Genomic DNA, 23,894 nt, shown 5'->3' on the forward strand with positions numbered 1-23,894 from the left:
TGTGCTGTGCTCAGTCCCAGGTCTGTGCTGTGCTTGCCCCAGATCTGTGCTGTGCTTAGTCCCAGGTCTGGGCTGTGCTCAGTCCCAGGTTGGTCTGGTTTCAAAGCCCCAGTTCTTTCCACTATCCCTGTACTCATGATGACTCCCCCAAAACAGAGGTTTTTGTTCCACAGGTGAGACATGAGGCCTAGTGTGGAATCCCTCCTGGAAGAGAGCCAGCCACAGTGTCTGGCCAAGTAGGTATTTGTGCTGTGCTGAACAAGTGGGTAAGTGAGTGACTGAAGGGGGTACAGCCACCCCCCAGTGTGTGGTGGAAGCCCCAGGATTCTCTCCTGAAAGTGGATCTAGATTGAAGGGAATTGTGCAGGAGCAGGAATGGTGAAGGGCGGAGATGCAGGGAGAAAGCCTCGGTGGCAACAGAAAAGGGAGGATGAGGAAGTGGAAGTCACTTCCCCCAAGACTGTGTCCCCTAAACAAAGTCACGTTTCGGGAGGCTGGCCCTGAGAACCCCGACAATCCTGGGGTTTGCACCTCTGTGGGAAACCTTCTTAGGGCCCGATTTTCTCCAGCCCTGCTCTCCGCTCCTGTGGAGCTCGTATAGGCTTTGTTGGCTGGGGGTGCCCTGGGAAGGAGCCAGCACCTGCTCAGACCAATGACAGGAAATAAGCCTAAACATCTCCCCAGGTTTCCTTTCCAGCTTGTTCACTTCAGGAATTCTTTTTTTAAAAATAGGTCCACTTGAAAAAATTTTTTCTTCTTCAAAATATGTACAATTGCTCAATCGGAGGCAGTTCAAAGGCACCGAGAATAGCAGCAAAGTATCTGAGCCTCCCATTTAGCGCCTAGCAGATATAAATCTTGCCCAGTTCTGTTTGTTCCAGGCTGCTCAGCAGCCTCTTCCCTGAGTCACTCACTCAAGAGTGACATGAGTCATCATCCTGGGGTCAAGGACCACACGGCATTCTGGGTCTGTGAGATCCCATAAAGGGCAGGGCACCGAGGGGTCTCCAGGAAGACATGGAGGATCAGGAACTGTCTCCTAGGCCCTAGGCTTGGCTCTGCCTCCCCACATGGGTGACTTTAGAGAGTCACTAAGCCTGAGAAGTAGGTGGATTTCTGGGCCCTTCTAACTTGTACTTTGGAGGAATCTCTTTAGTGGTGCACAGGAGCCTGCTTGTTCCAGCTCATAAGAGTCTAATGTAATTTTCAAGAATTCTGTGAACTGGTGGTTAAACACAGACATTATTAAAAAATAAATTACATGAACTCACATTAAACAAAAAGGAGATAAATACTCAAAATAACTGCTTTTTAATTATTTTACTACATTTTACTATTATCTATGCTCTTCTGAAGATTTATTTCTATTGTCTCTGCATAGCGGAAACTATATAATGATTTGCTACTGCCCATCTCTTCTCAGTTCCATGATCAGTGAGGGTGAGTTAGTAGCTTGCCATTGGTCATAGTGGGAGTATCTATACCATGGAAATTGGCAAACACTATGTACATATCAGGGCCTTTTCCCCCCAGAGAGCTGGCCGTGGAACATTGCCAGCACACCACTGAGCTACTCAGCCCCAGGCTCCCTGATTCTTGCTCCTACCAGGGTGCAGAAGGAACACAGATGACTTTAGTATCACCCCAAGATAGCACAGTTATGGAGACTTCATTGCCAATTGTCTTTGGACAACTTTTCCCAAGTGGACTATGAATCCCTTATCCTCAACACATCCCTGACAGAGCTCATTGTTTCTTTCCCTCCCCAGCCCACTCCTCCTGTGCCCCAGAGAATGGCACTCAAGCTACAAACCTAGAAGTCACCGTGACTCCTTCATTTCTGTCACCCTCCACATTCAATTAGATGACTCTGAGTCCCATCAATCCTAGTTCAGAAATGCCCTTCCTCCCATCCCTGGCACCCCTGCCCATGGCTCTGTGTGACCTGAGTCACTGCAACAGCCTCATTTGTCTCCTTACCTCTGGCCTGGTCCCTTCCAATGACCCTCCATAATGATACCAGAGCAGTCTGTCTGAAACACAAATTGGATCATCCTTCCCCTTCATAAACTCCTTGAGGATTGATTCCCTTTTACCATGGGGGGGCCAGTTCTGAGTCAAGCTCCTAGCCCCTCTCTCGAGGCTGATCCCCTCTTTCAACCTTTGTACACCTTATGCCCCAACCACAGTGGACCAAAAGCCAACCTCCAAACATGCCCTGCTTTTTTACACCCTTTGCATACATCCTCCTCCTTATACTTGGGCTGCCTTCTGTCCTCCTTCTATACTTTATGGGTTCCTACTTGTCCTCCAAGACCCAGTTCACATATCTCCTCCTTCATAAACCCATTCCTCCTCTTCACCTCAGGAAAAGTTACTCCCTTCCTGTAGTAGTTTCCTACTGCGTCTGTACCAAATTTCCACATATTTGGTGGCTTAAAACTGCACAAATTCATTATCTTACAATTCTTGAGGTCAGAAGTTCAAAATCCATCTCAGCAGGCTAAAGTCTAAGCATCAGCAGGGCTGTGCTTCTTCAGGAGGCTCTAGGGGAGAATCCATTTCCTGCCATTTCCAGCTTTAGAGGCTGCCTACATTCGTTGGCTGGTGACCCTTTTTTCTCCATCCTCAAAGCCAGCAGAGTCGCTGGCATCTTTTCTCCCCTCTGATCTCTGCTTCCCCCTTCACATTTCCTTCTCCTCTGACTTTCACCGTCCTGCCTCCTTATAAGAACTCATGATTACATTGAACCCGCTCAGTTAATCCAGGGTAATCTCCATCTAAGTATTCCCAATTTAATCATATCTGCAAAGGCCCTTTTGCCATTTAAGGTAACATCTTCATAGGTTCCTGGGTTAGGATGTAGACATCTTGGGGAGGGGGGAGTATTCAGCCTACTGCCCTATCCTCCCAGGGTACTTTGCCCAGAACTCAACCCAACTAGAATTTGAACATCTCAAGAGCAGAGACTCTGCCTTATTCATAGCTTTATGAATATTCTTATAATATTCATATTTTTATGACCTGCCTCCAGTACAGGGTCAAACACAGAATAGGCATTCACTAAATGTTTATTGAGTTAATAAATGAATGACACCGTATTTCTAAAAAGCAGAGAAGAAGGTTTTACATAGGCTGGGTGCAGTTGCCCATGCCTGTAATCCCAGGGCTTTGGGAGATCAAGGCGGGTGGATCACTTGAAGTCAGGAGTTCAAGACCAGCCTGGCCAACATGGTGAAACCCCATCTCTACTAAAAATACAAAACTTAGCCATCATCTGGGTTGCTATATAAGCAAGTGGGTGGCCTTGCCTGCCCTCATTCTCATTGAGCTTCCCCAGGTTAATGGCCAAGTTTTTCTCTCTCTCGATGATGTACCCGGGTTTCATGTCTTCTCTGCCACACAGATGTGCAAATTTCTCCCATAGTATTCTACAACTAAAACCTCACAAAAGGCCAGGGCCTCCTTCTCTGACACCTTCATGCTTCTGTTCTGCCATCCAGGAGTAATTTGCAAAGTGAATTTTCAGATTAACTTATCAATGGCTCTTCTAGCTTTAACCTAAGCCTAACAGAAGACCACAGAGCAGCCCCACCAGCCCCTCTGGCTCCGCTTGGAATGCTGACCAAAGCATTTCCTCAAACAGTTGGTTATGTGTGTTCAAATGCGGCAGCACCCTCGTGTCTGCTGCTGTGGTACTCTGGAACCACCTCCTTCCTGACAGAGCAGAGCCGGGAGGCTTTGCAAGGTGGTCATTGCCTTTAAACCCAGACCTGGACTCATGGCTTGATTCCTGCTCCAGCAAAGGCACAGACTCTGGTATTAGGGGTCCTGGCAATCCAGCACCTGGGATTGCCCATTCCCATGAAGCAGGCCTCTGGGAAATGTACCTTATTTCAGGTAGAAGGCAGGAGGCACTGTACCCACTTGATGGGATCGCACTAGGCCTTGATGGCCTTGGTTCTTTCAGAAGCCAACATGTGGGCTGAATCTGAGCCAACGGCCTCTTCCTTGGATCTCCCGGCCTCTGAACCTGAAGATGCCCTTTTCTTAGGATGGGAGCAAGGATGGATAAAGGCAAGCTGGTGTTTTGTCCAGGCCCAGAGATCTGTCAAGGGCCATCTAGACCACCAGGAACCAGAAGAGGCACCCTATTGCCTTGGATTCTTTAGAAACTTTGTTCCAAATAAAAATAAAGCTTCCTTGACTTGGCAACACCACAGCCCAATAAATAAATAAATAAGCAAAAAAAGAAAAGAAAATTAACACCCAGTTCCCAGTGTGCCTCTCTCATTCAGTTCCTCCTACTTCTCCATCATCTCCCCTTCCCTTCCTAGTTTTCTTCTAGGAAGAGGTCATCAGGGTCTATTAGGAACCTGTAGGAATACATATAGGAATATAGGAATATATGTAGGAACTGGTTTGGGAAAGTCAGAAGGAAAAGATGGCCTCCATGGTGCCTGCCTAAATCATTCACCCATTCTAGAAAAGCTTGTTGAGTGCTTCCTATGTGTTAGGTACTGTGCTGGGCACTGGGGCTCTGGGGTGTGTCCTCCAAGGCCACCTCCTCCAGGAAGGCTTCCCTGACCTCTCCTGGAAGCTATATTCTCCTCTGGTCTATGACAGCACTGTGTGGCTATCCCAATCTGCCAAGCAGTGGTTTCTGTTTCTCATTTGCAAAGCCTGAGGGCAGATAGCTTTCTTTTGTAACACAGGTACAGAGAAAGTTCTCAATACCTGGTGGATCTCTTCTTTTGAAAGCAAGGACTCTAGGAATCAAGCCTCACTTTTCACATGGCCTACTACACACCCAGCACAATGTAGATACGCTAGCTCTTGAACCATCTCAGGTCTGTGAGAAAGGAATTACTTGTCCATTTTACAGATGAGGAAATGGAGCCTTAGACAAGCAAAGTGACTCGCTCTAGGTCACACAGTCAGAAGGCAGAGTCAGGATTAAACACTGGGTCTCCTCTGCCCAAAATGGGATGTTTGGCTCTTCCTTAGAGAGAGCTTATTCCTATGCTTCTCTAATCTTAGCAAAGACAGAACAAGGGTATTAGGAGATGTTTTTTGATAGGGCAGTGCTCTTGATCATTCTAGATCCCAGCTCTTCCTCAGGGCCAGCACAGCCAACAAGAACAACAGCAGCCGAGACGCAGCCCCTCTCCGAGGAACTGGAAGTCCTTCTCACGGCATCCCCTGGGGTAGACAGGAAGCAGCTGCGACTGTGATCATCTAAGACCAGCAGGAGAGAGTGTTCTTCCCTGCTGGGATGGAGCACCCCAGCTCAGGTCCCCGCCTCCTGTTCATCTCCACTCTGGGAATCCCAGTTCTCCAAAGCCATGGAAATAGGCCCAATAACCTTGGGCTGGGCTGCTGGGCAAAGTCTGGTGTAAAGCATGCTACAGAAAGCTACAGCAGGATTGAGATAGGGGTTCAGGGACAGGGCCTTGTGGGGAGTGAAGAGCAGACTGCCATGCTAACTGCCTGTGTAGGAATGAGTTCCTTCACCATTCAGGCCTCAGTCTCTCCATCTCAATAGTAAAGGCTGGGCTAACTTGCCAGCCTGAGCCCTGCTTTCTGCCCCATGAGTTCAAGTTCACGTTGCCTATTGAAAGCAGTCACACAGTAGGAAGTTAGGGGCCTTCCTGGCATCCCAGGGCTGGAAGCAGCCATCACATCCCCCTGATCACAGTGATTGGCTGGAGGGTGAGCATGTGAGCTGACAAGAACCAATGAGATGCAAGAAGACATTACTGGGCATCCTGGGAAAGCCATCCTTAACTGCAGCCTTGAGTTCCAGAGGGTGAAAGCAGAATCCCTCTTAAGATGATGAAGAAGAACTTGTCTAAGGATGGAATCAATGTGAGACAGAGCACAGCTAAGAGCCAGAAAGAAACTAGGTCCTGAGGCTATCTTCTCAGATCCTGATCAAGCCATGCCTGATATCCCCAGCCTTTTCTGTTTTGAGAACCAATGAATACCCCTTTTTTCTTAAGCTGGCTTGTACGAGCTTTTTTGGCACTTGCAATAAAGAGTTCCAACTGGTGCAAACAGCCTATCCTTTATAATGCTGCCTGTGGGGACTTTCTTGGCACCAAGTCTTCTCTCACCTCTCTACTGTGCTGCTTACCTAACCCTAACCCTAACCCTAACCCTGAGAGTTTAAGCTGGGAACTCAGATCTAGAGTTGATGAGCTTACCCTAAGTTATTCCCTAACTTAGAATATCACCATGCCCTTTTCCTCAGAACCTGTTCCTCTTTCTGCATTCCCTGCTACCATTGGTGGGCCCAGCATCTGGCCAGAAACCCCAGCCCAAACACAGAACCTTCTCCCACCTCTCCAGGATGCCTGTCCCCACTTCTTTTTACTAATACACACATCTAAACTGTTAGGGCTCCAGAGGAGTGACTCGGTTTGACCAACCTCCATGTTCCTGCCTAGACGATAGACTGGTACACACCAAGATATGTTTGTTGAGTCAAATTTCAACCTTCAAATGATTTTCAAACATCATTACTTCCTGGGGGCGACCACTCCACCTACCTATCCCTCAGCTCAGAGCTGGATAGGCTCTCACTCTCAACCCTCCCCAGAAGAGCAGACCCCAAGACCGGGACAATGATTGGCTGTGTGAACAGGCTCGCAGCCCTGTGCTTGGAACCCCAGCACCAGAGTTTAGGGTGGAGACTCCCATGTGCAGGACAGGAAGGAAGCTCACACCTTGCCGACTGAGGCCAGCAGCAGGGTGGGAGCAGCTGTGGATCTTGGCCAGGGTCTTTTTTTCACCAATAGACTCTGAGCTGAACTGCAGGATGGTGGGTGTGTACACAAGAAGACACGTGATAAAGTAAAAGTGAGCAGTCCCTTGGTTATCCAGATGTATGCAAACAGCTGCATTAGCTGAGTCTTTAGACCCAAGTTGAGAACAGGTTATGGTGAACAGTGATATGCAATGGCAGGGGTGGGTGGAAGCCGGGAGGGTAGAGCCTGGGAATGGCTCTCCCAACAGCAAGCTTTGGTGATTAGAGGCCCATGTATTTCAAGGTCCTACTGCTTAAATGGGCATGTGCAACTGTGACTGCCTAATGATATGAGATTGGAAGTAACCATAGAGAATTTCTCCGCAGGGGAGTCATTTTTCCACCATGGAGAGGTGGGGATGGTCTGGGAGTAATTCTGAGGCATTAGCAGGAGAGAAACTGACATTTATTGTACCAGGTGCTCTACCTGACTCTTTACATCCTTTATCTTATCCAGTCCTTACAACAGCCCTGCATGGTACGATTATTCCCATCTTACAGGTGAGAAAATTGAAGCTCAGAAAGGTGAAGTAATTTGTTTCAGACATCACAATTACTAAGTAATGTTAACAGGGTTTGAGCTCAGGGGAGCCTGACTCCAAGCCCAGGGTTCTGCTCAGTATACCATAATGAAGGCTTCTAGGTCAATACAGAGCCAGGCGACAGCAGCAGCAACAACTTCAACCAAAAATGAAATGCTAACACAGGACCAGAAGAGGTTTTTCTGGCTAAGGCTTCACCAGTTTGTCATCGTGGAGAAGGTATCATCCCTAACAATCAGATTTACCTATGTTCTTTGTTAACCTGCAGTTTGTTATACATGCAATAGCTCTGCTTAAGTTAACTGGTAAATAGCATAGAGTTTATCCAACGGGTTAAGCTGAGTCATTCTCGTGAAGTATTTTCTTGTTTTTAGAAAAGACTGAGTAAAGAGAGCTCTGAGGGCAGGTTAAGGCCAGGGACTGCCTGGAGATGCCTCAGCAGTTTTGCTGGAGCTGTTCTGGGCTGTGAGTGGGCAGGCAGGTGAGCAGACCCCCTTCCTGGCCCAGGTTCCACAAGGAGCATAGGCACTGGGAAATCACTGGGTTTTGGCAGGGTTTTCTTGGATCACACTAGCAACATTACCAAGGCCTGAGTGGAGCTCCTGCACCCTGGGGAACATTTTCCCAGGGTAGCCCCCAGGCTCCTTAGGTCGGCTCAGACACCCCTCTTTCCTGTGCCCACAGTTGGTATTTCCTAGTTATAAAATGATTTTTTCATTAATGCTATGATAGAATGTAGAGGAATGTAGATATTTTTAATATGACAACATATGTTTATAGAACAGAAGTTTTTTTTTTCGTTTTTTTGTTTTTGTTTTTAAAGCACCTAATTTGGAGTCACCCTGGATCCCAGAAGCCCCAAAGTCCTGGGACATTGTTCTCGTGGCCTTTCATCTCTTTTCCTCTGATCTTCTGGATCCCCTACACAGGGCCCTTCCTCTAGGGTTGGCAGAGTTTGGGAAAAGCAAAGGCCTTCTAGGGCCCTGGGCTGGAATGCTGGCTGGGGTATGGCTGGCAGGCTTTGTGGTTGGGACTGGTTGGGAGCAGCAGCTCTGCTCTGCTCAGCCTGCAGGTCAGCACTGGAAGGCCCAAGTTGGGCAGGGGCCCCAGGACAGGAGGGAGGGAGCCGCTACTCAATGCTTTCCTGATATCCTCTTACTGCCTCAGTTACCTCCCAATTCCCTACTCATAAAAATCTAGCCATCCTGCAGCCCTATTCATTCTACATGTCCAGATGAGAAAAGCTGATAACCAGAAAATCGACTCCTGGGGTAGGTGGAGGGTGGTTCTCCTATGAAGTAATCCATCTTCCACACAGCTGGAATTCTAAAACATAGGTGTGGTCGCAGGCCTCCCTCAAGTCAAACATTTCAATGGCTTTCTGTGTGCTGACTCCCAAGTCTGGCTGCTTACTAAAAGCACCTGAGGTGCTTGATAAAATGAAGATTCCTACACCCTTCTCAGATAGACTGACTCAGAATATCTGGGAATAGGGCCTGGGAATCTGTATGGCTAAAAGCCCCTAAAGGGGAATCTGATCCAAAGACCAGAGCTGGAGAAGCCCTCGTCCACAGATGAAGTCCAGTTTCCTGGGCACTCATGCAAAACTTTCTGCTCTGAGACTGCCAAACCTCTCTGTTTTTTCTCCAGCCACTAACACCAAGGTATCCTGCACCCCAGCCTCACCTAATGCTCACTTTCCAGAATATTCCACGTGCTATCAAACCTCAGTGTCACTCCCTCTGCCTAGAAGGCCATCCCCCCATCTGTCTCCATGAAAGACCCTACTCATCCTTCAGGAGCCACCACATGATTCTCACCAGATTAAACCCTCTGCCCCATTTCCTTTTAGCATTTTAAATTGTTTAGTTGGAAACATAGACTTTAACCTTCTATTTGCCACTTTCTAGCTCTATGACTTTGGCTGTTGACTTTCAATGTCCTCACAAATTATTATGAAAAATATTCAAATTTGAAAAGTATGTAAATGTATGTAAATTAGATATACAGTGTCTAGCACAAAATAACTAACAGAATGGTAACTTTTATTATTATTATTCCTATATTATGATGGCATTCCTCTAACACAGAGTTCAACAAACTATGGCCTTTGGGCCAAATCTGACCAACTAATGGTTTTTGTAAATAAATTTTTATCAAAATACAGCACAACCATTCATTTGTATATTGTCTATGGCTGTTTTCATGCTATGAGGGCAATTGAGTAGTTGAGGCAGACACTCTGACTTATAAAGCCGAAATATGTACTAGCTGCCTTTTTTCAGAAAAGTTAGCCAACCCTGCTCTAACATAATTGCAATTATTTTTTTATAGTTTCGTCTCCCCTATTTGGCTGAGAGACACTCAAGGATCTTCATGGCAGACTCCTGTTCATCCTTTTAAACTAAGTCTTTCTCATCTTTGTATCTCTAACATTTGGTATATAATTAGGGCTTGGTATATGTTAAATTGAAGTGAATAATTCTTTAACCCAGTTTAAATGCACACATCTCCTGAAAGCCCTGATGGGAAGATGGGGTAAGTGCCAGCAGACCTGGCTCTGAGGCTGCCTCCCTCCTGGCTTCAGCATCCCACAGTCTCACTGCCTCCCACCACCCAAAACCCAGCACTCTGTGCTTTGCAGCTGTAATATTTCCCCTGATAGAGAGGGGAGGAAGAAGTCCTTCAAAGGTTAGTATATTCCCATTATCCAAGAGTGTACAAATGGATGGTCTAATGGTCCCCATGGTCCTTACAGGGGGCAATTTGGTGGACCCATTTTTAATAAATAAACTAATGGATTGGTATTTTTTCTCTGGAGATCTATATTTTGTTTAGTTTCAACTACCCATGAATTTGCATTCCTGACAAAAGCTCCTTTTGAGAAGAGAACTAGGATTTCCAAGCAGTGAGACCATTTCTTTGTGAGCTGTTTATGAAACTACTCTGTGACCTTGGGCCAGTCACCCGCCTCTCTGGGCCTAGCTTTCAGTTTCTGTATAACAACTTCCAGACTTGACTCCCTGGAGTTCTAGCCAGAGGGATGAACCAACTCATGGTGAGTGAAAACAGTGGCCTGGCAACAGGCAGCTTGACAGAGTGTCTTCCCTCTTCCATGCTGCAGTAGCACATTCCCTGTCCTCCCCAGCAAATACAGCGACTCATTTCTACTGCCTTTTCTTGAGGCTTAAGGAAGATACTTTAGCCCTAAAGTAGATCTTCAGAAGATAAGAAAATGCCATGGTGTGGAAAACTCTGTGCTGGATGAAGTGGAAACACTCAGCTCTCCCCCGAGGCCAGATGAAAAGCACATGGATGAAAGCCAAAGTCCATCCCTTCCTTGAGCCTTTGGGAGCAGCAGTCCACCCTCTCTTTCAGAAAGTAGTTCCCCCCCTTACCCTTCACCCTCCTTGCAGACACCCCCATGGGATAAAATACTGAGCCTGCAGGATCCTGGTTATCTGGGGGCAAATCGGTGTAACTGTGGATTGAACTGACTTTTATTGATTTCCCAGCAGGTGATTTATAACTGCCTGCTTCCTAAAAGGGCTTGTGGCCAGATGGCAATAAAAACACTCAGAGGCCAAGAGAGTTAAAAATAAATGCTGAAAAAGAGAGCAGAGGAAAGAGGGAGATAGACAGCTGCACTAACCGAGGTGGGATGACTGCTCAGTCTGGATCACAGGGATGGGAATCTTGCTTTTCAGTTCCTACTGACATAACCAATTGAGATCAGCAGCACCTTGTTTTTGGCTTTTGCAAGAATTGCAGAGCAAGGAGTAGCTACATCTTGAGCTTCCAAAACTAACCCTTAGTCCAACAGAGAACAAAATTGAGTGAGATTTTGCATTTTAGAACTTTATAAAGCTCACTTCACAGAGGGACTCCTCATACAACTATGTCACCGTACTGTTTACACAACAGGATCTGGAAGTACTTTAAAGCCGGCAGTGTAAATCAAATTCTAGGTGTTATGTACATGTCTGAGTCTAATGGCTGGTCATCCACCCTCCTTGACTTGGCTTTAGAGTAGTCCTTAACTAAAACGAGTTCTAGGGTCATGCAAAACCATGCACAAGGATCCTTTAGCTTAGTGAAAATAGGCAGTGCTTTCTAATTCTGGCCATAGGTCACTGTCATTTGGTGGTCACGGTGAATTGGTTATTTAACAAATTCTGTTTTCACTAGTTGCAACTAACCAGAAATCAGATCTCTCAAAGGAAAACCAAGAAGGCTATTGCTATGGGCTTAATTGTGCCCCCCAATACTCCTCCTAGTTCTTATGTCAAAATCCTAACCCCCAGTACATAATAATGTGACTGTATTTGGAGACAGGGCCTTTAAAGAGGTGATTAAGTTTAAATGAGGCCATTAGAATAGACCCTAATCCAATCTGACTGGTGTCCTTATAAGAAGAGGAAATTTGGATGTAGAGGCACCAAGGATGTGCCTATACAGAAGAAAGACCATATGAGGACACAGAGAGAAGGTGGCCATCTATAAGCAAGGAGAGAGGCCGCAGAAGAAACCAGACCTGCTGATACCTTGATCTGGGACTTCCTTAGAACTGTTAGAAAATAAATTTCCATTGTTTAAGCCACCTGGCTTGTGATATTTTAATACAGTAGCTCTGACAATCTAATATAGCTATTGATAGAATCTCTCAGCCATATCAGATTTAAATTCAAGTCTGTTTCAAACATTTAATCTTTGAAATAGGGATCAATACATTTTGGAGAATAATTGCTTTAGTATTTTTCCAGGCTAACCACAAAACTCCTTTCAGAACCTTTCTAATGAAATAAAAATTCTCTAGACTAGGTCCCAAGAATTCTACCTTTGAAGAAGTAAAATTATCTCTATTTGCAGGTGATATGATCTTATATATGCAAAATCCTGAGGAATCCACTAAAAAACTATTAGGACTAATAAATGAGCTCAGCAAGGCTGCAGGATATATGATTGATATAGTACAATCAATTATATTTCTATACATTAGCAATGAACAATCAAAAAATGAAATTAATAAAGCAATTCTATTCACAATAGCATCAAAAGCATAAATACTTAGGAATACACCCAACGGCTGGCCGGGTGTGGTAGCTCACACCTGTAATACCACAACTTTGGGAGGCTGAGGTGGGTGGATCACCTGAGGCCAGGAGTTTGAGACCAGCTTGGCCATGATGGCAAAACCTCATCTAAACTAAAAATACAAAAATTAGCAGGGCATGGTGGCGCGCACCTGTAGTCCCAGCTACTCAGGAGGCTGAGGCATGAGAATCGCTTGAACCCAGGAGGTGGAGGTTTCAGTGAGCCAAGATCACACCACTGCACTCCAGCCTGGGTGACAGGGTGAGACTCTGTCTTAAAAACAACAACAACAAACACAACAACAACAACAACAACAAAAACCAGAAATATACTTAACAAAATAAATGTAAAACTTTTACTCTGAGAGATATGAAATATATTTGAAAGAAATTAAAGCCCTAAATTGTTGGAATGCCATCTCATTCCAATTTCATATGGAAACACAAGGAAGCAACAATAATCAAAACAAACTAAAAAGAAGAAAAAAATTATCTACACATCCCAATTGCAAAACTTACTATAAAACTATCGTAATATAGTATGATACTATACACTATACAAGAAGAGACATACACATCAATGCAACAGACTTGAGAGTTCATACATAAGCCCTTACATTTATAGTTAATTGATTTCAACAAGGATGCCAAGACAATTCGATGGGGAAAGAAGTCTTTTCAACAAATGGTTCTGGAACAACGGGATAACCACATGTAAAAGAATAAAGTTGGACCTCTTCCTATACCATACACAAAAATTAACTCAAAACATCTAAATGGGAGAGCTATAACTATAGAATTCTTAGGTGAAAGCATGTGAGTAAATCTTGGTGTCCTTGGTTTAGACAATGCCTTCTTAGATACAACACCATAAATGCAGGCAACAAAAGAAAAAGTAAATAAATTGGACTTCATCGCGATACAAAAAATTCTGTATTGAAAGTGATGCTATCAAGGAAGTAAAATGACAACCCACAGAATAGAAAAAAATTTGCAAATAGCATATCTAATAAAGGACTTGAATAAAGAACTCTTATAATGATAAAAAGACAAGTAATACAATTTTTAAATGGGCAAAATATTTGAATACACATGTCTCCAAAGAATATATGCCAATGACCAATAAGCACATGAACAGATGTTCAACGTCATCAACTATCAGGGAAATACAAATTAAAACAGCAATAAGGTACCACTTTACACCCATGAGGGTGGTTAAAATAAAAAAGACAACAGCAAGTGTCGACTAGGATGTGAAGAAACTAGAACCCTTATATATTGCTGGTAGAAATGTAAAATGGCGTAACCGCTTTGGAAAACAGCTTAGCAGTTCCTCAAAAGGTTGAACATAGGATTACTGCATGATCTACCAATTCTTCTAGATATGTACCCAAGAGAAATGAAAATGTATATCCACATAAAAACATGTACACAATGTTCATAGCAGCACTATTTATAATAGCCAAAACATGGAAATAAACTAAATGTCCATAAGGTAATTAATGGATGAATAAAATGTGGTATATTCATACAATAGAATCTATTCGGTCATAAAAAGGAATGAAGAGCCAGGCGCGGTGGCTCACACTTGTAATCCCAGCACTTTGGGAGGCTGAGACGGGCGAATCACTTGAGGTCAGGAGTTTGAGACAAGCCTGGCCAACATGGTAAAATCCCGTCTCTACTAAAAATACAAAAATTAGCTGGGCTTGGTGCCGTGCGCCTGTAATTCCAGCTACTCAGGAGGCTGAGGCATGAGAATTGCTTTAACCCAGGAGGCGAAGGTTGCAGTGAGCTGAGATCATGCCACTTGCACTCCAGCCTGGGTGACGGAGTGAAACTTTGTCTCAAAAAAAAGGAATGAAGTAATGATATAAGTTTTAAGTTTCATGCTAAAGTATGAAACTTAAAATGAATGAAAGGATGAACTTGAAAATATTATGGTAAGTGAAAGAAGCCAGTCACAAAAAACCATACGTATTATTTTATTTATATAAAATGCCCATAATAGAGAAAGCTATAGAGATGGAAGGTAAATTAATGGTTGCTTAGGGCTGAGAGGATGGGGAAATGGGACGTGGCTGTTAATAAGTGTGGGGTTTCTTTTTGGATGATAAAAATATTCTGGAATTAGTTAGCCATGATGGCTGCACAACTCTCTGAATATACTAAAATCCACTGAATTGTACACTTTAAGTAGGTGAGTCATATGGCGTGTGGATTATATTTTAACAAAGCTGTTTAAAATTTTTTCTAACTTCCATTAAAAAAAAAAGAGAAGGAAGCTAGCTTTGGTCCTTAGTGCCTTGTGACCTCTCTGGGCATAGCTTCCTCAAACATAAACATTAGAAATTAAGCTCGATGATTTATAACGTGCCTTCCATCTCTGAAATTGCTGAGGATACATAATGTAAGAAAACAGGTTGAGGGAAAGAGATAGATTATGTGTCTAGGATGGGCTCGTGTGAGGAGAAATGAAGGAGGAGGCAACAATAAGAAGACTAAGAGAAATAGAGATGAAGGGACAGGGACACGGGCTCAGAGAGACAGACAGAGACATGGAGACAAGACTACACCCCAAAAGAAAGACAGACTCACTGGGATGAATGTGCAGATTACTCATCTGTTCTTCCATTTAACAAATATTTACAGAGCGCCTACCAAGTGCCAAGCTCTGTGCAGTAGTAAACCAGGTAGACCAGGGCACTGAGCTCAGAGGTAAGAGACATAGCAGTAAGCAGGCAATTTGCAAGCAAGCACAGAGAGCGAGAGCTGGGATGCAGTAATTCAAGATGCTCCAGAAGTGCACAGATGCAACATACACCCCACACCACACTCCACATGCACAAATGTCCCAAAGGTAGACTCATTTTTGTAGGGAGCGCCATTCCTCATCTGAGGCATTTAGAGTTCTGCTAGCAAAGACATTCAAATAAACGGGTTTTTACAAGTATGGGCACAAATGGGGGTGACACCTTTCAGTTCTCACCCTGAAGTCTCTATAAAATGAGGCTGAAGGACAGGATTCATCCCTCACTCCAGAGCTTCCCAGTACTCTTTCCCCCTCATCGGGAGGGACTGGCTTTGGAAACAGAGAGGAATGTGACCTATTACAGCCACACCAGCACCACTCCTCTGGGCTTTCAGCTGGAAACTTCCCAGAACACATTTTGTTCCACCCTCCTTCCATCCCATCCAGACCTGGCGACCTGGCCCAATGAAGGCATCACATGTTGCCCCTTCCCCTGTCTTGTGGCTTCTCTGCTGCTGACAGGCACATGAAAGGGAATTGAAGCTCAACAGAAAAGTGACTGCTTCCTGCACGGTGTCGGCTCCCTGCCTGACTCAGATTCAGCCAACTCTGAGGAGGGAAGGCAAGGGACGTTTCTGGATATCTCTTGCCCGGGTCCCTCTTCTCCTAACTCCAGATTTAGCGAGAGTCCAAGCTACACAATATTCCTGAAATAGCCCCAAGTCACATCCTAAGATGGGGGTTCATCCCCTCATATGAAGGATTCTCTTTGGAGAAGATGTTGGGGGCTTTGGACGCCGTGCACTGGCACACGAATAGGAAACGCAGAGTGACCCGGAGCAGGAAGGAATGGGCACCGCCCTGCAGATTCTGGGCAGGCTGCACCAGTGCTGGGCTGGGAAACAGCCCCTGGGCTCCCTGAAGATCTCCCTGGCTGTGCACCATTTGGAGCAGCAGTGAATTAATGTGATTCAGGCTCCAAAAATAGTAGCCAGAGCATCTAAAATTGCTTTCCACCCTGGACTGGGCCAGTCCCCTGGGAATGTCAGCATTTCTAAAATGTCCCCATTCACCCAGAGTGCCTTTGTCAGACCCCAAGTAGAATCTGGGCCACCGTTAAGCTCTCCTGGTTCCGTTGGCTCCTGCCCGGTTCCCCTCTCCTGTGTGTCACGTGCACTGCCTCCCAAACAGGAAATGCTAATTCATGCCTGCCACTTGCTGTTACCAGGTCCAAGAACTTTAACCCTGCAAATGGCTTGGAAGGGCAGAAATGGTCCCTTGCAGAAGTGGCCTGGGTGGCTCTCTATCACTGAGTTGGGATTTAATTCCTAACAATGACGACTGGGGAAGCAGGTCACCTGAGGAACCCTGAGCCTCTGGTCTGCTGCTGATGCCAAAGGGAGTCATTTCCACAGTGGCTTGTCTTTCTCTGACAAAATTATTTGGGGATCTCAGGGAATTTCATCATCATGAAGACTTGTCACTCTAGGCCTACCTCAGTGCTTTTGCACATCCTGTACTCTACGCAGGAAACACCATTTACGCCCTCTTCCCTGACTGACAAATGCCCCTTCATCCTCTTATTCAGCGCCTTCCTAAGAGTGCTGCGGTCTTTACTAAGTTTGTCTGCAATGAATGCTCTGGAATGGCCACCTTTGCCCAGGTTACACTCCCATGCCTAGAGATTCACACCCTGCATTCTCCTACCCACTGATCGACCACGACTCTCAGCTGCCTTATTCATGGACAGGAGTGAGGCAAGGAACAAGCCTCTCCCCTGCCTCATGGAGGCTGGCCTCCCATCTAACAATTAAATGGCCAGAGTCTGTAACCACTGCATGGGGTTCCTGATTTAAATGCAGTTTGGGAATCTCTCTGCCTAGAGAATCGTGATTTGATCTTTGTGATCATGTCCTTTAGTTCTCAGGTTCTTAGCTGTGATGCTCGTACTGCCTCTTAGTGGCTTCGCTTTGCCTCCCTAAGAGATTCCAGAAGCGCAGGACACAGAAAGTGATGGAGGAGTGAGGAGGGAGAATGAGTTAGTCTACACCTTGGTTTCTCCCTGTGCGGTGGGAGCTAACGGTTTCTCCGTCAGAATGGTTGAGAGGATGGCATGAGATGCGTACATGACTCAGCACAGTCAGTGCTTTGGGGGGCAGCTGCATTTTCGCCCATGCGGTCCCCAGTCCCCCTTCTTCTGGCGACAGCAGCACATCCATCATACTTGTGCTTGGGATGGGGGTGGTTGACCCCACTGTGGGATTGGAGCTATGACACTGGACTGGCCCCACAGAATATCCCATGCTCCCAGCTCTGGGTTGTAATTGAGGAATGAGCACGTGACTCAGACCAGGCCAATACATTCAGTTCGGTGACTTCTGTTGGAACTGTTGGGGGAGTTCCTGCTGCAAGCGTTGCTGAAAGGAGAGGCTGGGAACTGCAGGTGCCACAGTGCCACCACACAGGAGAGGTCACCTGAGAATACATCTAATGCCAAGGACAGCTGAGAGACAAGGGGATGAGACCGTGGATCCAGCCATGTCCGAGATTGCCCTAGAACTCTCAATGATATGATCCAGAACATTCTGCTAATTTGCTAATCTAATTTGAATCCGTTTCTATTCTAGGCAAACCAGAATCCTGGCAAATGCCAAGCTCAATATGTTTGGAGGTTCACCCTTCCCACGGCCATTGCTCTGGGGCGAGCGGTGTTCCTTGGCCTCTGCAGAGACGATGCCACAGCTCATCTCCCTGTCCTCAGTCTCTCGTTCTTCAGTCTTTTACTGCACTGACTGTTCTCAAACACAGGCTTAGAAGATGCCTTGACTCCCCACTGCCTGGAGATCATGTCCCAACTTCCTCAGATCCACCTGCAAAGCTCTACATCTGACTCTAATTTCCTTTGTGCGTCTCTCCCATGACCTTCCCCTCTGGGTCCATGCATACTCTGTGCCCCACCCATATTAACCTCTTCCCCACTCTGAAACGCTCCCTCCACTCTCCCAACCCTGTACTTTTCCTGGGAAGTTCCTCACTTCTTTCTTACCTACCTGCCAGATCCACAACTACCTTCTCTTCTGAGAAGTCTTCATGGATGGCCCCAGACTGAGTCAATGTCTCCTTCTCCTGAATCAATGTCTCCCTTGTACATACTGTAGTACCTCTTGGTGTTTATGACTTGAGAGTAATTTATACATTTTTTTTGAGAGCAGGGAGCATGTCTTACTCCTTTCAGGATCCCCTGGGATCCTTACACAAGATTTGCTCACTCTAGACCCTCCCTGAATTTGCTGACACAAGACCTTGGCTTCCAGCTGACAAACTCTGACTACCCCGTCCCCTCCCCTCAACCATACTCTAGGAGAGGGGTGCCTAAACTTTGGGTCACATTTCCTCTTCACCAGTAAACTTCTTTTTTAAAAAATTATGATAAAATATGTGTGACATATGATGTATCATTTTAACCATTTTGAAGTGTACAATTCAGTGGCATTAAGCACATTCACAATGCTGTGCACCTATCACCCCTACCTAGTTCCAGAACTTTTTCATCATCCCAAATGGAAACTCTGTACCCAGTAAGCAGTCACTCCCTGTTCCTCCTTTCTGGCAGGCCCTGCCAACCACGAATCTGCTTTCTGTCCCTGTGGCTTTAACCGGTTCTGGATAGTTATATGAATGCAACCATACAATATGTGACATTTTCGGTCTAGCTTCTTTCACTTAGATAATGTTTTTGAGGTTTATCCACATGGTAGCATGTATCCATACTTCATTCCTTTTTATGGCTGAATAATATTCCATCATTATCTATCTCTCTATCTGTCTATCTATCTATCTATCTATCATCTATCTGTCTATCCATCCCACATTTTGTTTATTCATTCATCAGGTGATAGACATTCGTGTTGTTTCCTCCTTTTGGCTATTGTGAATAGTGCTGTTACACTGTGATACAACTTCTGTTTGAACACCTGTTTTCAATTCTTTTGCATATAGACCTAGGACTGGAATTAATGGGTCATATGGAAATTTTACATTTACTGGGAAGCTGCTTATCCTTGCTTTCTCCAAGCCTCAACAACATGCTGGGTCTATTTAACTGCTTTCACGCTGAGAGAGCCCAAGGTTCTTAGAAGGGAGCGATTTCATCTTGTCGTCTCCTGATGGCAATCCCTAAAGGATGTTCCTAGTTTTTAATACTGCCCTCTTGCTGTTTAGAGCTTTCCTTTGTCTAAGCTATTTCAGACATATTATTTAATTTATTCCTCACAGAAATACTGTAAGGAGGAAACGATTACGTCTGCTTTTTGATGTGGAGGCTGACAGATTCAGAGGATGAAGTGATGCGGCAAGGTCACACAGCCATTAGGAGCCCAGCTGAGACTGACCCCAGCCCAGTGCCCTTTCCACGCCACCACAGCGGCCCTCTCTCAATTTGCCTCTCTTTTCAAAGTCTTTGTAAAATAGCCACCATCTGAAATGTATTCTCAGACCCACCATTGTTTAGAAATGCCCTCTTGGTAGGCAACTGGTTGATGCTGGCATGGACCTCTGCAAACACTCTACCAGTTGGCACCTCATTTGTAATCGAAGCTTTTTCCTGGGGCAGATTCTGCCTGTACCAAACAGACCAATGTTTACCTTTTCTGGGTCTTCTGTCACCTTCTGCAATCCTGGGTTAATGTTCCCTTTTGATGCTGCTATGAGTCTAAATCTGAGTGTGTCCCACAAGCTCAACCTCAGCTCTCTAAATTTCCTCCCTGTTCTTTTGTTCAACCCAAGGTCAACCCAAGAGCTTCCCCTTCCCTTTCTCAGGAAGAAACTATCCCTTGGACCAAGGGGTCCCCTGACCTCTTTGGAGTAGAAAAGAGGCACAATGCCCTTCAGCCTGACATGGTGAAGTTGTGTCTATACTGCTCCTTGGAAGCTTCCAATCTTAGTGTCCTAGTTCTACATGAGACCAGGAGACTGTAGAAATAAGCAAAACAGGCAATGATAACAATAACAACATTCTCTATCCATCAGAAGCATAGAGCTTTTTAAAAGCATACGATTCAGTGGCATTAGGTACATTCGCAATGTTGTGCACCTACCACCCTTATCTAGTTCCAGAACACTTTCATCATCCCAAATGGAAACTCTGTACCAATGAAGCAGTCACTCCCTGTTCCCCTTCCCCCCAGGCCCTGGCAACCACAGATCTGGTGCCTGGTGCTTTAGGCATATTTACTCACTCAATCCCCCAACTGCCCTATGAGGTGGATGCCACTTTGCAGATAAGGAAACTGAAGTTCAATGTGATGCTGTGACCTCCAGAGTCACAGAGCTAATGGGTGGCCAAACAGGGATTGAAGCCGTCAGAGCCCATGGCTTCCCCATTCCAGCCCACTGTCTGCCTCTCAGGCAGAAGGTTTGTGAGCTGACCTTGCTCACTGAGAGCTTTCCTTAGCAGTTCTGCAAGCAGCAAGGACTCTCTAGATGCCACGTGATCCATCCTGTGTCCACCCAAGTAGGAATACCACTAACCACTTATCCCAAAGTTGTATAGAGTTCTGTACAACTCCAGATCTGGGTGATGTTGTCAGGAGCTCTGAAAAGAAAGCTTATGTGTTTCACTCTATTTGGGAATATCAGCGGGAGATAGGTTTCTGTCTTGCAGGACATCTCAGAGCCTTTAAAAGTAAATGTGCAGTATAAATCTGCAAGAAGGGGTGAAAGGATATAATGTTTCCCAAATTTATTTGACCATGAAACGTTTTTCCAAGGAGTATCTCAAAGTGTCCTCTTTAAAACTCCACTCTGGGCCAGGCACAGTGGCTCGCACCTCTAATCCCAACACTTTGGGAGGCTCAGGCAGGTAGATCACCTGAGGTCAGGGGTTTGAGACTGGCCTGGCCAACATGGTGAAACCTGTCTCTACTAAAAATACAAAAATTGGCCAGGCATGGTGGCGCATGCCTGTAATCCCAGCTACTTGGGAGGCTGAAGTAGGAGAATCGCTTGAACCCAGGAGGTGGAGGTTGCAGTGAGCAGAGATTACACCACTACACTCCAGTCTGGGCAACAAGAATGAAACTGAGGAAAGAAAGAAAGAAAAAGAGAGAGAGAGAGAGAGGGAGGGAGGGAGGGAGGGGGGAAGGAAGGAAGGAAGGAAGGAAAGAAAGAAAGAAAGAAAGAAAGAAGGAAGGAAGGAAGGAAGGAAGGAAGGAAGGAAGGAAAGAAAGGGAAAGAAAGAAAGAGAGGGAAGGAAGGAAAGAAAGGGAAAGAGAAAGAAGGAAGGAAGGAAGGAGAGGAAGGGAGGGAGAAAGAGAGAGAAAGGGAAAAAGAAAGGAAGAAAGGAAGGAAGGAAGGGGAAGGGGAAGGGGAAGGGGAAGGGGAAGGGAAATCTCCATTCAGAAATGCCCTAAACCCTCTTAGGTTAGAGGGTGTCCAGAGGTGAGAGAGGACAGTAATTATGTCCATTGGCCCTGGAGCTGGGCTGCCCGGGTTCATATCCCAGCCCTGCCATGTGACCTTGGGCAAGCTGTTTCATCTTTCTATGCCTCAGTTTCCTCACTTGTAAAACATGGATAATAACAATCTTGTGAATTATGTAATATAAACTTCTTAGAACAATGCCTTTTGTGACATAGGGCTCACAAACATTCTAATAAGGTCCTTGGGGCCGGGCGGGTTAGAGGGGGCAGTGAGAGGGATTATGTTACCTATAATGCATAAAACTGTAAAACTCCAGATAATTCATGAAAGATTACACAGATAGCATGGTTTCATTGTCCTCAGGGAGGGTCAGTGAGTTCCAGTGGGAGGAGAAAGTGCTATGCAGATGGTAGTTAGCTGCTTGATCCATCTTCCTGGGTCTTTTCAAGTTCACCAGGTCTCCTCTACTTAGGGAGTGCCCGACACCTCCTGGAGGCCCCTCAAATTCTGGTGCCTATGAGTTTCACCACTTCCAAGGAACAGAAATCTTGTCCTTTTGTCACCACCCACTACTCCTGTAGGGCATACTCATCTGCCCCCAGAGCTGGAGTGCTGGGAGAAGCTGGCCCTGTAGTGTGAGGGCAGAGTGGCCAGGCTCTAGCGGCTGCCTGGACCATCATTTCCAATCTGAGCAGTAAATGTCTAACGCATGAGTCAAGTGCCTTGTTAATAAAAAAGAGAATAAATAGGCATTCCCTTTAGCAGTAAATGTTTTTTTTAAAAATACAACCTTCCATTAACTTTGGACCTGATGCCCATTCTAACTGTCACCAAAGGACTTGAATGGGATTGTAGAAAATAAACAATAACAGCTGACTCTTCAAACACACCTGCAGTCCTCCTCCTTGTCACTGACAGTGCCCAGCTGTCAATTATTGCTCTGAGATGGGCTCTATCATGCAACTATTGGGATGAATCACTGGGCCCTGTAGGGTGAATGGTTCACAGATGAGGAAAATGAGGACTTGGAAAGAAGATTTGATTTGCTCAAGAGCACAACATGAGTTGAAGGCAGAACCAGGCCTACAACTCAGGACCACTGCTTATACGGTCTCTTCATTTCAGCTTAGGAAGTGGCACCAGGGACGGATGCTGGAAGACCTTGACTGCCCTTAAACCTGAGAGGTTTCATTCATGCATGCATTTGTTCATTCATTTAATGTATCTACCAAATACCTGCTACAAACTGCCATGGTGCTAGCTTCCCTTAATACCTTTCTATAAAACCATAATGATCTAACCCTTTTTGAAATCTTATTGTCCCAGCTCTACTCTCTCCCGGCCTGAAAAACTCCAAGTATGAGTTTCTATCTGTTGATGGGCTGCATGCACTTTGCACCAAGGGCAATATGGCCTTGGCTCTGCCACTTTCTAGCTGTGTAATCCTGAGTGAACTACTCAGCCTCACAAAGTCTCCATTTTCTCATCAGTAACATAGAGATAATATTATAACCTGTATCACAGGATGCTGCAAAAATATGAGATAATGTATGTAAAGAACTTAACATAGTATTTAGCTGGTGCTCAATAAATGACAGTAATTTACAGACAGAAATGACAGAAAGTTACAGTAATAAGCACATTATTATTACTCTTGTCATGTGAAACAAGTCTCTGGAGATTCAGCAAATGGAATCTTCCCCTCTGGGACTCTAAAAAGTCAGGCTCTCTTTGTTCATGTGCCTAAGCAACTTTTGTGCTTTATAAACTATAGGAATCGTGATATAGGGACAACTTGCCAAATGTTTTCAGGTCTAATGCAACAGATCCTTGATGTCTATAACCAACCGTATCTTTTTTTCCTTTCTGGGACCAGCTGGCCTGAGAAATAGTCTTCCTCTAAGTCTGATAAGGTCTGTGAACCCCAGACCTGTTAGGAATGTTGGCTATACATGGAGATAACTGCAAGGAAATGGGGCTGCCCTCCAATGTATTAACAAGGTTTAAAAAAACCCATAAACAATGGACATGGTTAGTTATCTATGGAAGTAACCCAAGAAATTCTCTGTATATGGGGTTGCAGAGTTGAGAGGCTTAACAGACATCTCTAGAAGGCAGGACAGAAAGACAACTATAAATAAGTGGGTGATGACATTCTTTGAAGACACTTTTACTTTAAGCAATTTTCCCTTCTTTAGTAAGAACCCCTATATATGAGGGATGGCTTCCCCATGACCACATTTATACCCCACAATCCTGTCCCCTGGCCATGACTGATT

The 23,894-nt window shown here is 45.3% G+C and overlaps 1 protein-coding gene across 5 annotated transcripts in view, besides 4 other annotated features; it reads right to left on the reverse strand.

Annotated features, from left to right (window-relative positions):
- The window catches only part of IRAG1 (inositol 1,4,5-triphosphate receptor associated 1), a 120,661-nt gene that overhangs the window by 85,897 nt on the left and 10,870 nt on the right, over window positions 1-23,894 (reverse strand). The window lies entirely within an intron of this gene.
- Window positions 178-1,377: an enhancer, noted in NCBI's record as "P300/CBP strongly-dependent group 1 enhancer chr11:10680716-10681915 (GRCh37/hg19 assembly coordinates)". NCBI's record gives its function as "activates an origin of replication core promoter dependent on BRD2, BRD4, P300/CBP, MED14 and CDK7 cofactors, with strong dependence on P300/CBP, by STARR-seq in HCT116 cells {active_cell/tissue: HCT116}" and the evidence as "EXISTENCE:reporter gene assay evidence [ECO:0000049][PMID:35650434]".
- Window positions 431-725: a silencer, noted in NCBI's record as "tiled region #9334; HepG2 Repressive non-DNase unmatched - State 4:PromP, and K562 Repressive non-DNase unmatched - State 5:Enh". NCBI's record gives its function as "represses a minimal TATA promoter and a strong SV40 promoter by Sharpr-MPRA in HepG2 and K562 cells {active_cell/tissue: HepG2 | K562}" and the evidence as "EXISTENCE:reporter gene assay evidence [ECO:0000049][PMID:27701403]".
- Window positions 15,583-16,170: an enhancer, noted in NCBI's record as "H3K27ac-H3K4me1 hESC enhancer chr11:10696121-10696708 (GRCh37/hg19 assembly coordinates)". NCBI's record gives its function as "activates a minimal SCP1, AML or CMV promoter by ChIP-STARR-seq in primed H9 embryonic stem cells {active_cell/tissue: H9 hESC(primed)}" and the evidence as "EXISTENCE:reporter gene assay evidence [ECO:0000049][PMID:30033119]".
- Window positions 16,945-17,446: an enhancer, noted in NCBI's record as "H3K27ac hESC enhancer chr11:10697483-10697984 (GRCh37/hg19 assembly coordinates)". NCBI's record gives its function as "activates a minimal SCP1, AML or CMV promoter by ChIP-STARR-seq in naive H9 embryonic stem cells {active_cell/tissue: H9 hESC(naive)}" and the evidence as "EXISTENCE:reporter gene assay evidence [ECO:0000049][PMID:30033119]".

The sequence above is a fragment of the Homo sapiens genome, chromosome 11, assembly GCF_000001405.40.
Source record: "Homo sapiens chromosome 11, GRCh38.p14 Primary Assembly".
Lineage (NCBI taxonomy): Eukaryota > Metazoa > Chordata > Mammalia > Primates > Hominidae > Homo > Homo sapiens.